Genomic DNA, 13,698 nt, shown 5'->3' with positions numbered 1-13,698 from the left:
TTTCAGCTGCAAGTGAAAGAAAGATGTGTAAGTACCGTGGGGAACATAACGCTGGGATGGAGGGGTGTGCCATGGCACCCAACGCAAGTGCAGGGTGCTTAGTTTCACTGTAACAAAGTACCACAAACTTGGTGGCTTAAAACAATGGAGACTGATTCTCTTACGGTTCAGTGAGCCAGAAGCCTGACACCAAGGTGTCCGCACGGCTGCTTCCTTCTGAGGCTCTAGGGGAGGATCCTTTTCCGTGCCTTTCCAGCTTCAGCTTCCTCCTTGTAAAAACTCCTGGCCGGGCGCATTGCCTCACGCCTTTAATCCCAGCACTTTGGGAGGCCGAGGTGGGTGGATCACGAGGTCAGGAGATCGAGACCATCCTGGCCAACACGGTGAAACCCTGTCTCTATAAAAAACACAAACATTAGCTGGGTGCGTGTCTGTAATCCCAGCTACTTGGGAGGCTGAGGCAGGAGAATTGCTTGAACCCGGGAGGCAGAGGTTGCAGTGAGTCAAGATTGCACTATTGCACTCCAGCCTGGGCAACAAGAGCAAAACTCCGTCTCAAAATAAAAAGGAATTCTTGTGAGGCCAGGCACAGTGGTTCACGCCTGTAATCCCAGCACTTTGGGAGGCCGAGGCAGGTGGATCACTTGAGGTCAGAAGTTTGAGACCAGCCTGGCCAACATGGTGAAACCCCGTCTCTACCAAAAATACAACCAAAAGTAATCTGGCAGGATAAAACCAGAAAACACACACAATTTGATGTCAAGACCTATTTCAAAAGCTATAGTAGGCCAGGCGCAGTGGCTCATGCCTGTAATCCCAGCACTTTGGGAGGCCGAGGTGGGAAGATCACCTGAGGTCAGAAGTTCGACACCAGCCTGGCCAACATGGCGAAACCCTGTCTCTGCTAAAAATACAAAAATTAGCTAGGTGCGGTGGCTCATGCCTGTAATCCCAGCTACTCAGGAGACTGAGGCAGGAGAATCGCTTGAATCCGGGAGGCAGAACTTGCAGTGAGCTGAGATCACGCCACTGCACTCCAGCCTGGGCGACAGAGTGAGACTCCATCTAAAATAAATAAATAAAAATAAAAAGCTATATTAATTAAGATAATGTGGTACCTGTCAGAGAAGGACAAATCAACCAATGAAAAAGAATAGCATGTCTAGAAGGTTCCACACATTTGTGATCCCTGAGTCATGCTGTAGGGAATGGTTGGGCTTTTCTGTGAATAGTTTTGGATCATTTGGATACTTATCTATCTACGTATTGATTGATCGATCAATTCATCTGTTGATCCACAGGGTCTCATTATGTTGCCCAGGTTGGTCCTGAACCCCTGAGCTCCAATAGTTCTCCTGCTTTGACCTCCCAAAGTGCTGGGATTACAGGCATGAGCCACCCCACCGAGCCAACGGGATATCCAAATGGGGAACCATGAATCTTTTTTCTCACCATACCTCACACCCCTACCTCACAGCACACACAAAAATTAATTCCTGACAGACTATAGATCTAAATAGGAAAGGTAAAACAATAAAGCTCCTAAAAAATAACATAGGAGCCAGGCGCTGTGGCTCACGCCTGTAAACCCAGCACTTTGGGAGGCCAAGTTCCAGACTAGCCTGACCAACATGGAGAAACCCCATCTCTACTAAAAATACAAAATTAGCCGAGCTTGGTGGTGCATGCCTGTAATCCCGGCTACTCGGGAGGCTGAGGCAGGAGAATTGCTTGAACCCGCGAGGCAGAGGTTGTAGTGAGCCGAGATCGCGCCATTGCATTCCAGCCTGGGAAACAAGAGCGAAACTTTGTCTCAAAAAAAAAAAAAAAAAAAAAGACTTGATCCAGAACTCAAAGTTGGGTCTGAGTGTGGCTTTTCTGTCTCTCTTTCGTGATGTTGTCTCTCTCTCTTGGCAAGCTCATTCTTTTGGTGGAAAGAGAGCTACCACTCGTGCCAGGATGGTTTCCATTAATTCATGTAACATTTATTGAGTGCCAATTACATGGCAGGCTCTATTCTAGACTCTGGGGACAGAGCCTAGACTGTTTCAGGTCTGAAGAGCCTTTGCCTCGGAGCTCACGTTCTGACGGAAGGAGGTAGACCACGATGCATCAACACAGAAAGTCTGGGGTGGTAAGTCACAGGGAGAGGACATGGCTGGGTGGGGAGGTCTCTTCTACAGGGGCCATTTGGGCAGAGACCAAAGGAGGAGTGAACCACATGGCTACCCGAGGGCAGAGAATTCCAGGCAGAGGCTGGAGGCAGGAGCGCCCTTCTGGTGTTCAAGGTGCAGCCCGAGGGTGAGGCAGCCAAGTGCAGGGGTGAGGAGAGAGGCATGGGAGGCAAGGGTGGGTACTGGGGCCCGATAGGCTGGGTGGAGACTTTGGAGCTGCTGCTGGGTTCTGAGCAAAGGGCATTTTCGAGTGGAAAGGCTCAGTTTGGCTGTGCTGCCAAAGAGTTTTCCAAAGTGGTCGTTCCTGTCCTTGCCAGCAGGTCATTGTGTGCTTTCTGGAGGGTGTGCCCAGGTGTCTCCTGTGGATTTAATTTGCACTTCCCTAATGATTAATGATGTGGAGCACTTTGTGCAGATTCATTGGCCATCTGCATATCCTCTTTCACCAGACACCTACTTGAGCCATTTGCCCATTTTTCTCTTGGGCTGTCTGTGGTTTTCTTAGTGATTTTTAGGAGTTCTTTATATATTCCAATTATAAGGCCTTTGTCCATTTTACAAATCTCTTCTCCCACTCTGGGGCTGCCTTTCACCCTCTTTTTTTTTGTTATTTTTTGTTTTGTTTTGTTTTTGAGATGGAGTCTTGCTTTGTCACCCAGGCTGGAGTGCAGTGGTGTGATCTCAGCTCACTGCAGCCTCAACCTTCCCCAGCTCAGGTGATCCTTCTACCTCAGCCTCCCCAGCAGCTGGGACTACAGGTGCACCACCACCACGCTGGGCTAGTTTTTGTATTTTTTGTAGAGACGGGGTCTCCCTATGTTGCCCAGGCTGGTCTTGAACTCCTGGGCTCAAGAGATTTTCCCACCTTGGTCTCCCAAAGGGCTGGCATTACAGGCGTGAGCCACCGCGCCCAGCCTCCAAGTCATCTTTCACACGCAGAGCACGCCTGAGAGCAGCAACAAGACTAACGTTGGGGCCAAAGCTAAGAAGTGGGGCGGAGCCTCCCTGGTGGCCGGTCGTCAGCCCAGTGCCTGAAATGCATGCAAAGTCTATTTTTATTTTGCGTAGTTGAACCTAAGCAAAAAATCTGGCCCTACAATCTCTAACCTTGCTCCTAACTGGCACCTACCCTATTGCACAAGAAGCTATCTAGGGGAGGACTCAGTGAGCACTCGGTGAGTTTGCCCAGCCATGGTGGTACTGTCTCCTTCCCTCTGCAGGCACAGCGGGAAGAATAGGGCGGATGGAGGGCTCTCTGCACCTTCCACAGCCAGCAGCGTGGACGGCAGATTACAAGTTAGTATCTGTGTGACCTCCGCACTCCCCTGCCGGTGGCTGCCTGGGCTGCTGAGATTTCGCTTGGTTTTATCACTGCAGAGGAATGCCCGCCATACCGGGGGGCGAGCAAGGTCCAGAATGACAAGCCGTGGCATTCCTCAGCCGCCTCCTCCCCGGGGTGGGGCCTGGACATTCCTGGCTGCAGCTAGAGGTCCCAGCATGACAGGGATTCTGACCCCCCCTCCACCACGGCTATTGTTCAGGATTCTGTGGATTCCAGAGGCATCTGCCCAGCAGACTGTCTTGCTGTGAACACCCAGCTCTGCAACCGGTGTTTGCGTGTTTGCCCTGGGAGGCTGAACGCTCACCCAGAACAAAGGCCTCCCCACATGCCTGCTGTGAGCTTCCAAGGACTCGTTAGGACACACGCCAAGGAACCCCGGGTGGGGGTGATACCGAGGAGCTTCCTCCCTGACCCACACACACCCTTTGAAGAGGTCTTTGGCTGCTCACCAGTCTGGTCAATCTCGGGGCAGTATTTATATTCCTTCCCGTTTCCAGGCCTAGGAGCCTTGGCATCCTGCTCTCGCCTCTAACTGAAATTACCTCTCAACCCTTTTTAGCTAAGATGCCTCTCGCATTCCCCAGGAATAACAAGCTTTAAAGCCCCTTCACACTGAAGCCTGCCTTTGAATTCCCCAGCTAGATTTGGGGGTGGGGGTCTTATGGCTCCCGGTGAACCCCCGGTTCTGTTGATTAAATTGAGCTCAGGCAGATTGCTGGCTTCCCAAAGCCTGTGTTATTACTGCTTCTCAAAGCTACGGGCACCGGATCGCCATCTTTGGCAAGATTCTTTTGGGATACAATGGGAATTACTGGGTGGCCTCGGTTCGGTTCTTCCCTCGTCTCAGTTCGCGGCTCACCAGCCACATTGATGCAGCCCCCAGGCTGGAAGGAGGCTGCAGGAGCTTCCCCTCAGGTCATCCTCTCATCCCTCCCCCGTGCCCCAGGAGCTGGTTGTGGGGGCGGTTCCATCCCCTAGGCCCATCCGGGACAGGAGCCTAGGTTCCCTTCGGGGGGTACCCCAAACCCCATCCTTGGCCTCAGGCCAGCCCTGGTGCACTGCCCGCTCCCAGGCTTGACGAGAGGCTGCGGGCCAGTGGGTGAAGGGGCTCGCCCTGACTGCCAGGCCCCGCCCAGGCGCACCCGGGAGGACGGGGTGGGATGACGCGGGCGCCGGGGGGGTAGGTCGCGAGGCCGGGGTCTCCATGGCGCAGGAGGACGGGGGCCTTCGAGGACCACGCGGGCCTGGGAATCGCCTGCCAGGCTAGGCCGGAGGACGCACGTGCTCCGAGCTGGGTCGAGGGGGCGGGGCTGAGAGCCGCGGCCGGGCCACGGGGCGGGGAGGAGCCGCGGACGGTGGGCGGGGCCAGCGGGCCGGGGCCTAAAAGGCGGCGCGGGCGGGGTTCTTGACGCAGCTGCGGGCGGCGAGCGGCGCGCACAATCCTCGCTCGGCTGCGGCTCTCGGGTGTCCCAGGCCCGGCCGGTAAGCAGAGCATGGCGGGTGCGGGCCCGAAGCGGCGGGCGCTAGCGGCCCCGGTGGCCGAGGAGAAGGAAGAGGCGCGGGAGAAGATGCTGGCCTCCAAGCGCGCGGACGGCGCGGCGCCGGCAGGCGAGGGCGAGGGCGTGACCCTGCAGCGGAACATCACGCTACTCAACGGCGTGGCCATCATCGTGGGCGCCATCATCGGCTCGGGCATCTTCGTGACGCCCACGGGCGTGCTTAAGGAGGCAGGCTCGCCGGGGCTGGCGCTGGTGATGTGGGCCGCGTGCGGCGTCTTCTCCATCGTGGGCGCGCTCTGCTACGCGGAGCTGGGCACCACCATCTCCAAATCGGGCGGCGACTACGCCTACATGCTGGACGTCTACGGCTCGCTGCCCGCCTTCCTCAAGCTCTGGATCGAGCTGCTCGTCATCCGGCCTTCATCGCAGTACATCGTGGCCCTGGTCTTCGCCACCTACCTGCTCAAGCCGCTCTTCCCCAGCTGCCCGGTGCCCGAGGAGGCAGCCAAGCTCATGGCCTGCCACTGCGTGCGTGAGTACGGGGCGCGGGCCGGGGGTTGGGAGGTCGTGGTCCCTGGGTCCCTGCATCCTTGCATCACTACGCCCCTGGCTCCCACATCTCTACATTTTTGCGTTCCTGGACCGTCCCGGCAGTTCTAGGCTAAGGTCATTGGTCCCAGAAACCACGTGCGTTTCTTTCATTCATTCGTTTACACTTCTCCCCACGGGCTGGGAATATCTTCAGTGACGGGACAGCAGGGTCCCTGCCCTGCCCTTCGGTGGGCATTTCATTCCCCCACTTAAGCGGTTCAGGCAAGTGCCAGCCTCCCGTTGGCCCCGCTGAGCAATACTCCCAGCCTCTTGCGTGGCACCCACGTGGAGTAACTGAGCAACCGGTTTATTGTTAAAGCTCCGATTGCTGACTGGTTGTTGAAAAGGAAATTGCAGTTGAAAAGAAAATTATTCATTTCTGCTCTCCACACCAGCTCGTCAGGAATCAGTGACACGGGCTGACTCATAAGAAAACAGTAGTAATAAAATCGTGTGCGGGTAGTGACTGGTGCTGGTTTAGGCTAAGGGATCCCCCCTGAGGGTTGCCCAGTAGTGAGAGAGCGGAGCTTGGCTGCAGATTCAGTCTGTGTTGCAGTGAATGGACGTGCGGGTCCCAGGTTACTCTGGGAAACAGCCATGGGGCTCCTGTTTTGGTGGGCATGGTGCTGGTGTGTTCTTCACCAGGCCAGAGAGAACTGCTTTTCAAAATAGTTTTCTTTTCTTTTCTTTTTTTTTTTTTTTTGAGATGGAGTCTTGCTCTGTCGCCCTGGCTGGAGTGCAGTGGCGCGATCTCGGCTCACTGCAAGCCCCGCCTCCCGGGTTCACGCCATTCTCCTGCCTCAGCCTTCCGAGTAGCTGGGGCTACAGGCGCCCGCCACTACGCCCGGCTAATTTTTTTTATATTTTTAGTAGAGATGGGGTTTCACCGTGTTAGCCAGGATGGTCTCGATCTCCTGACCTTGTGATCCGCCCGGCTCGGCCTCCCAAAGTGCTGGGATTACAGGCGTGAGCCGCCGTGCCCGGCCTCAAAATAGTTTTCTTGTGGGATTTCAGGGGGAAAATCACTTGTACCAGATACCACATGATTTGGTTGGGTGGCGTGGGAAGGCGGGTCTTGGCAATTCTCAGGTTCATCCCATGGCAAGGATCGGCCTGGATCTCAGTAGTGTGTGTACATATTCAAGGTGGGAAGGGCTAATTTACAGTTGGGGTCTTGAGCCATGAAATCAGGGGAGTGGCTTCTGACTGGCAGGACCTGTTGGCGCTGTTTTCTGCCACACCGTACTTTGGGGAGAAGGGGGAGGGGGAGGCATTTCTTCATAAATGTGAGAATGCCCCGAGGGCAAGACTCAGCAGGGCTCTGTGTGGTTTCTCTGAGGCTCTGAGCGGAGCAGCCGCACCACCATGCAGGTCAAAGCCGGGAAAAATCGTAGTAGGACAGGAGTGGGGAGAGCCTGTGGCTTCCAGCTGGGCGTTGGACATGTGAATGTAAGGGATGACTCTGATTTCTTTTTTTTGTCATTAGAATTTCACTGGTTCAGTCTCCCTCCCGCCTAGGTACATGTCCGCCTGGTATGTAACGACATGGATAATAGCTTATGCAGCCTGCACTCTTACCTTTAAAAAATGGATCCCTGTTGGCTGGGTGTGATGGCCCACGCCTATAATCCCAGCACTATGGGAGGCCAAGATGGGCAGATCTACCGAGGTCAGGAGTCCGAGACCAGCCTGACCAACATGGTGAAACCCCATCTCTACTAAAAATACAAAAATTAGCTGAGCATAGTGGCTCACGCCTGTAATCCCAGCTACTTATGAGTCTGAGGCATGCTCCGGGACGTGGAGGTTGCAGTGAGTTGAGATCCTGCCACTGCACTCCAGCCTGGGTGACAGAGCAAGCCTGTCTCAAAGAAAAAAAAAAAAAAAAAAAAAGCAGCCCCTGGGTGCTGAGTGTCTGACTTCCTGTTGGTGCCAGGAGTGAGTTGTGGGAAATGCTTCATTGGCCACCAGGAAGGAGACATAGGATGGGGCGCTGCCTAGTTTTCTCTTTCTAATAAAAATCACATCAGTCATACATGAATTCATCATCATTTAAAAATTCAAACCAGCCAGGCACTGTGGCTCATGCCTGTAATCCCAGCACTTTGGGAGGCCGAGGCAGGCGGATCACCTGAAGTCAGGAGTTCGAGACCAGCCTGGCCAACATGGTGAAACCCCATCTCTACTAAAAATACAAAAAATTAGCCAGGTGTGGTGGCAGATACCTGTAATCCCAGCTACTCGGGAGGCTGAGGCAGGAGAATCACTAGAACCCAGGAGGTGGAGGTTGCAGTGAGCTGAGATCGCACCACTGCACTCCAGCTTGGGCAACAAGGCGAAACTCTGTCTCAAAAAAAAAAGCAAAAATCAGCTGGGCGTGACGGCGCACACCTGTAGTCCCAGCTACTCGGAGGCTGAGGCAGGAGAACTGCTTGAACTCGGGAGCCAAGATGGTGCCACTAAGCTCCTGCCTGGGTGACACATTTCTCCTCCTTTACCACCCCCCAGCCCCAGAGTTTCTGTGGCTGACAGTGTACGCTTCCAGAGCTGCTTCTGTTACAAATATATCGCTGGCCTATTTATTTAAAAGATCATAATGTACAACTTGTTCTCCACCTTTTTTTTAAGCCTAAAATGGTTTTGCCATGTTCCCAGGCGGTACGCAGAGGCTGCCCTCTTTAGCTGCTAAGAAGACTTCCCTGTGTCGGCAGGAACAAGTGTGCTCACCGCCCCCACCCCCTGACCCCCCGTAGACCCCTGTGGAGGGCATTTGGGGTTTCCCAGCTTTGTGCAAATGGGAAAAGGTTATGTGGTTTTTTGTTTTTTGTTTTTGTTTTTGTTTTGAGACAGAGTCTGTCTCTGTCGCCCAGGCTCGTTGCTCACTGCAACCTCTGCTTCCTGGTTTTAAGCAATTCTCCTGCCTGTGCAGGATTACGGGCATGTGCCTCAGCCTCCCAATTTGCTAGGATTACAGGCATGAGCCATCGCACCCGGCGGGGTGTGGATTCTAATGTAATAGCTAATGTGCCTTCCAAAGAGGCTGTACCAAGTCACACGTTCCTGGATTTATTTTGTGGTAATAGGGCTTTAAAAAGTATTTTTATTTATTTATTTTTATTTTATTTTATGTTTGAGATGGAGTTTTGCTCTTACCCAGGCTGGAGTACAATGGCGTGATCTCGGCTCACTACAACCTCCACCTCCCGGGTTCAAGCGACTCTCCTGCCTCAGCCTCCCGAGTAGCTGGGACTACAGGTGCCCACCATGCCCAGCTAATTTTTTGTATTTTTAGCAGAGACAGGGCTTCACCATGTTGGCCAGGCTTGTCTTGAACTCCTGACCTCAGGTGATCCACCCGCCTCTGCCTCCCAAAGTGCTGGGATTACAGGCTTGAGCCACCGCACCCGGCCTAAAATAGCTTTCCAGCAGTCCTTTTGGTCCCAGTAGGTAAAGCCTCAAGGCAGGCTGTAGAGTGCCAACCCTCTCTGACCCAGAGGTGAGGGTTAATGTTAATAGGATCCCTTTCAGCGAAAGTTAGGGCCACACTTCTCATGTCCCTAAGCCATTTGTACTTGTTTTTTTTCTCTGACCCACCTGTGTATGTGGTGAGTATGTGTGTATGTGTTGCTTTTTTTTTTTTTTTTTTTGGAAAGTGATTTTCAGTAACAGAAAGGGATGTGCTCTCTGCAAGGGTGAACCTATTCTTGCCCCTGTGTGTAAGGCAAGAAGGAGAAGTTGTGTTCTCTGAACAGGCAGACCCTGCTGAGAGACGGAGGTGTGTTGGGGTTCAATCATTCTGGTGGGAAAGATATTAGAGATAGTTATAGAAATAGACACAAATCTTGGAAGGCCGAGAAGTTGGCATAACTTTGGTAATTAGCTCTGGCTGAAGGCGGCCTGATCCCTTTACCTTTAGTTAAACAAATAAACATAGAAATAAAAGAAAGGCAGAGTAGTTTACCTAGCTAGCTTGTTTACTCATATAATCTTAAGACCCTGGGTGCTTAAATGCTTTTTACTCGGGAAGTCCACAATGTCTGTTACACTCTAATGGTGTTGACTCAAGCTTTTGTTAATTAATCATACTGAATAAATGCGCGTCTGACTAGCTGATCAGGGCCAAGTAGCAACTGTTTACAGGACTCAGCAGGGAGCCTATAAGCGGCTGGGACCCTCAGCTGGACTGGCAGAGCAGAATATCTGTGTGTCTGTACTTTATTCATCTGTCACGGGGTCACGGGTCTGTAAGGGACAGACTCCCTGCAGCTGGTGCCCCCTCGAAAGGAGTGCTGTCGCAGAGGTGGGCTTGGCTGAGGCTGGTAGAACTCCAAGCTGATTCTCAGGTCGTTCTGACTTCAGCTCGGAGAAGGGCAGTGGATGTCCCAGGAAGGGAGACCCTGCCCTTGTAGGGGGACTTCTGACAGGTGCAGGGGGCAGCCTGGAGCCCGGACCAGTGGGCAGGATGGGCGCTCCAGGGTGTGAAGGAGAGGCTGGGCGTTTTATCTGTGGACATTGTTCCTGGAGCAGTGAAAAGCCATAGAAAGTGATTTTATTTATTTATTTATTTATTTATTTATTTATTTATTTATTTATTTTGAGACGGAATTTCGCTCTTTTTGCCCAGGCTGGAGTGCAATGGCATGATCTCGGCTCACTGCAAACTCTGCCTCCCGGGTTCAAGCGACTCTCCTGCCTCAGCCTCCCGAGTAGCTGGGATTACAGGCATGCACCACCATGCCTGGTTAATTTTGCATTTTTTAGTAGAGACAGGGTTTCTCCATGTTGGCCAGACTGGTCTCGAACTCCTGACCTCAGGTGATCCGCCCACCTCGGCCTCCCAAAGTGCTGGGATTACAGGTGTGAGCCAGTGTACCCAGCTGATTTTTTTTTTTTTTTAAATGATCACACGTAAGGTTGGGTTCCAGAATTTTCTGCTTAGGAAGGGAAAGGGCACCTTTTACCCCCTTAGTCCTTGAGCCTGATCCTACAGAAGGTACAGTGGCTTTCGGGTCTGGATCCTCAGCCCTCGGGCCTCTGAGGCTGCTTTGGGAGAGGGTACGGATTTGAGAACAAGGTTCTCAGTTTTGCTGGCTGTCTTTTCAGTAGCCCAGGCACGTCCCACAGAAAGTTTCTTTTTGTGAAATAATCGTGTGAAATGGGTTGGCCTCGGTGCTTAGAACCATCCCACTGACGGTGAGTGGAAAAAATCCCTTGCTTGTCAGTCTGGTTAGGAGATGAGGTCCTTTCACGCGTGTCTTCGTGTTGGTGCGCTTTTCACTGGTCATAAAGGTGAGAGGAACCAGCTCTATGTGTCTCTTTCTGGATGGCCATATGGAACTTGTCATGACAGTAGGGTTGTGTGGGTTATTTATTGCTTAACGAAGACTTGGCAGCGTGTACTGGAAATTCAAGCGATGCTGGGTTTTATCAGAAGGCGCAAAGGCTGGAGTTGAGATTCTGGCTGGGCCTGGATTTGGTTTGGGCAGTTATCTGACCTCCCTGGGCCCCAGCTGGCTCTGCATAGCAAGTAGGGTAGCATCTACTCAAAGTCCCGGCCACAGCCGTGGACCGGCACTGGCCCAGGTGAGCTCTCAGTAAATAAGTGGGAGCTCACAGGTTCAGAAGATGCTGTGGGCCTCAGGGGCTTCCACCTCCAGGGAGGTGCTCTCAGAAGAAGGGCCTGATGGGCTCACCGCATCGTGGAGAAGATACCCCGGCTCAGTCTCAGTCAGTTCCCCAAGCGCATAGGTGTTCGGGAAGTGGCCTGCAGACAGCTCCTCCATGCCTTGAAAGCAGAAGTAGCCCCCTCCTGTTTCCCTGTCGCAGTTGGGTGAAGCATGGGAGCCTGCTGGGACAGTCCCAGGCGTGCCGTCACGCAGGGGCAGGCCGTCCGTCGGTCTCGCGGGACTCTGGCTGCGGGTGGCTGAGGACACCTGGCCTCATGGGAGACGGTGCCAGGGTCCCTGGAGTGAGGTGGGTCTCCTCCCCATGGCTGTCACTCCTCAGCAGATTGGTGTGGGCGGGTGTGCGTTTAGGAACCTGTGAGCTGAGACATTGTCCAGCTAGCATCAGGCCAAAAGCAACCAAGGCTTTGAGAAATCCACCTGGCCCCGCCGAGCCTGTTTCTGGCTGTGGAATGGGATTTGCCCCAGCGCCAGGTGTCTGGGAATCGCAGGCCTCCGCGTGTGAAGGTGCCAGTTGCATGGGCTGTGACCGTCCCTCCACATGCTTGTATCTCCTGCTCACTGTGCACGTTGAGCAGCCCTCAGCCTCACTATCTTCTCCTTTGGCAAAAAGAAGGAAGGAGCAAGGGAACAAAGAGAGGGAGGGAAGAGCCAGAGACAGGAGCCAGGGTTTCCTTTAGTCTGGAGCTCTGGGTGCGAGATGATGTCACCCACCCACACTCGGCACAGGCCCAGGGTCGGGGGGCTGTGGGTGGAAGTAGGAATCGCCACAACTGTCTCTGAGCCCCTCCCTAAAGGGTGAAGGGTGTAAGGGGTGGGTTTTGATGGCTGTGGGCTTAGCTGTGGTCAGTGGACTCAAAGGCCAGTTGGCCAGTTAGCAGTGACCAGAGAGCAGAGGGGGCCTGTGTGTGTTTTGCCCCAGGGTCTTCAGGCTGCCTGGCTGCCTCTATCTGCCCCCCTGGGGTGTCCAGCACCCCCCTGGGGTATCCAGCACCTGTAACCTGTAGCCCCGCTTCTCAGTCCAGGCCTGTTCCAGGGCCCCCCCAGGGTATCAAGCACCTGTAGCCTGTAGCCCCACTTCTCAGTCCAGGCCTGTGTAAAACCTGGCCCCGGGTTGGGTTTTGGGATCCCTGCACCCCTCCATCCCCAACCCCGCACAGCTGGGACCCTGGCTCAGCTAGCAAAGGTTCTGCATGTTTAAGGAGCTGGGTGGGCCCCAGAGCTCAAGCCGTGGGCTCATTGCAGGCGGCAGCCAGTGATTAGTGCTGAAATCCGACTTTCCCAGCCAGACATGAAAGTGCCGCCGGCGCCTGGGCAGGTCACGCTGCATCACGGGATTCGGGGCAAGGCCGTAGGGGGAGTTCACAGAAGCACATGACCTGAGCCACACAGGAGAGCCTAACGGGCACTTCTGACCCTTTTTTCTTGGGTCACAGACCTCTTTCATAATCCAGCAGAATGTGCAGAATCTTGCCCAGGAAAGTGTACCAGCCGCCTTCACACAGAAGAGTGGGCTGCGCAGACCCCCGAGGGCCCAGGCCAGGGTGAGAGCCACCCCCTGTAGAGGGGTGTCCAAGGTAGGGCACATGCTTGCACCACCTCTTGGCACCTCTTGGCCACCACTTTCCACTCCAGCCTTTGAAGCCAGTGATAATCCCCAATTTAGAGCTGGGGAAACTGAGGCAGGAGCGAGCCAGGAGCCAGGGGCCACAGTGCCCACCTCTACACTGAGGCCACTGTTTGTCATCAGGCATAGCGGAGCACACAGCCACGCCTGGGGAGTCTGGTGGGTGCCAGGGGTCTGGGGAGGTGTCAGCAAGACTGGGTGGCCCAGTCGGCCCAGGTAAGGACACAGGTGGGTCAGAGGCTCATCTGTGTTCCCCAGCAACCCCTAGGGGCCCTTCGCACTCCTCCACCCTTCTCCATCCTTCCCAGACTCACATCCAGGTATCCTGGACAGCCACAGGGTTCTGCCCCCAAGTAGGCCTGGCCCTCCCTGGAGCATCACCTGGATGGCTGGCCATGGGCAGGCCTTGCGTGGCCCATCTGCAGGGACAGGGCATGTGTATGCACGCAGATTGGTACTGTGTGCCCGCGCGCTCCCCAGAGGCCCTGTGGCAGCACCCCCTTCCTGCCGCTGCCCTTTTCCAACAGGAGGGCCCCCCCCCAGTGCCTCCTTCCCTGATTGTGGCCAAATCCTGAACTCTCCCTCTGGAAGGCGGACCCTCCGGGGTGGCCACAGCACCTGCCCTCCAGGAGCGTGGGAGGCGTCTCTTTCTCTGCATCTCTGGCCGTCAGACCGCCCCAGGTGGGGACCATTCTCTGGCATTGCCCCCCCTCCCCTGCCCTAGGATTTGCCCACTATGTGAGGAATGAGCACCAACCTCCTATTCCGGGCCTTGGAGCAT

At 54.4% G+C, this 13,698-nt stretch overlaps 2 pseudogenes across 1 annotated transcript in view, besides 8 other annotated features; both read left to right on the top strand.

Moving 5' to 3' along the window:
* Positions 3,195-3,879: an enhancer, noted in NCBI's record as "OCT4-NANOG-H3K27ac-H3K4me1 hESC enhancer chr16:29626092-29626776 (GRCh37/hg19 assembly coordinates)". NCBI's record gives its function as "activates a minimal SCP1, AML or CMV promoter by ChIP-STARR-seq in naive and primed H9 embryonic stem cells {active_cell/tissue: H9 hESC(naive and primed)}" and the evidence as "EXISTENCE:reporter gene assay evidence [ECO:0000049][PMID:30033119]".
* Positions 3,880-4,565: an enhancer, noted in NCBI's record as "OCT4-NANOG-H3K27ac-H3K4me1 hESC enhancer chr16:29625406-29626091 (GRCh37/hg19 assembly coordinates)". NCBI's record gives its function as "activates a minimal SCP1, AML or CMV promoter by ChIP-STARR-seq in naive and primed H9 embryonic stem cells {active_cell/tissue: H9 hESC(naive and primed)}" and the evidence as "EXISTENCE:reporter gene assay evidence [ECO:0000049][PMID:30033119]".
* Positions 4,705-4,994: a silencer, noted in NCBI's record as "silent region_7328". NCBI's record gives its function as "represses an Ori minimal core promoter by ATAC-STARR-seq in GM12878 lymphoblastoid cells {active_cell/tissue: GM12878}" and the evidence as "EXISTENCE:reporter gene assay evidence [ECO:0000049][PMID:35858748]".
* Positions 4,925-5,547, top strand: SLC7A5P1 (solute carrier family 7 member 5 pseudogene 1; annotated as a pseudogene).
* The window catches only part of SMG1P2 (SMG1 pseudogene 2), a 68,707-nt pseudogene continuing 59,941 nt past the window's right edge, over positions 4,933-13,698 (top strand). The window contains exon 1 of the transcript NR_135317.1: positions 4,933-5,547. The product of NR_135317.1 is annotated as an SMG1 pseudogene 2, transcript variant 1 (transcript). The remainder of the gene's footprint in view (positions 5,548-13,698) is intronic.
* Positions 5,035-5,114: a silencer, noted in NCBI's record as "silent region_7327". NCBI's record gives its function as "represses an Ori minimal core promoter by ATAC-STARR-seq in GM12878 lymphoblastoid cells {active_cell/tissue: GM12878}" and the evidence as "EXISTENCE:reporter gene assay evidence [ECO:0000049][PMID:35858748]".
* Positions 11,367-11,596: an enhancer, noted in NCBI's record as "active region_10657". NCBI's record gives its function as "activates an Ori minimal core promoter by ATAC-STARR-seq in GM12878 lymphoblastoid cells {active_cell/tissue: GM12878}" and the evidence as "EXISTENCE:reporter gene assay evidence [ECO:0000049][PMID:35858748]".
* Positions 11,713-12,434: an enhancer, noted in NCBI's record as "H3K4me1 hESC enhancer chr16:29617537-29618258 (GRCh37/hg19 assembly coordinates)". NCBI's record gives its function as "activates a minimal SCP1, AML or CMV promoter by ChIP-STARR-seq in primed H9 embryonic stem cells {active_cell/tissue: H9 hESC(primed)}" and the evidence as "EXISTENCE:reporter gene assay evidence [ECO:0000049][PMID:30033119]".
* Positions 11,774-12,014: a silencer, noted in NCBI's record as "fragment chr16:29617957-29618197 (GRCh37/hg19 assembly coordinates)". NCBI's record gives its function as "represses an EF-1alpha promoter that drives an FKBP-Casp9 reporter gene in an ReSE screen in HepG2 liver carcinoma cells {active_cell/tissue: HepG2}" and the evidence as "EXISTENCE:reporter gene assay evidence [ECO:0000049][PMID:32094911]".
* Positions 12,435-13,156: an enhancer, noted in NCBI's record as "H3K4me1 hESC enhancer chr16:29616815-29617536 (GRCh37/hg19 assembly coordinates)". NCBI's record gives its function as "activates a minimal SCP1, AML or CMV promoter by ChIP-STARR-seq in naive H9 embryonic stem cells {active_cell/tissue: H9 hESC(naive)}" and the evidence as "EXISTENCE:reporter gene assay evidence [ECO:0000049][PMID:30033119]".

This window comes from Homo sapiens, chromosome 16 (genome assembly GCF_000001405.40).
Source record: "Homo sapiens chromosome 16, GRCh38.p14 Primary Assembly".
In the NCBI taxonomy this organism is placed as follows: domain Eukaryota; kingdom Metazoa; phylum Chordata; class Mammalia; order Primates; family Hominidae; genus Homo; species Homo sapiens.
This window is presented reverse-complemented; position numbering and strand designations above follow the sequence as displayed.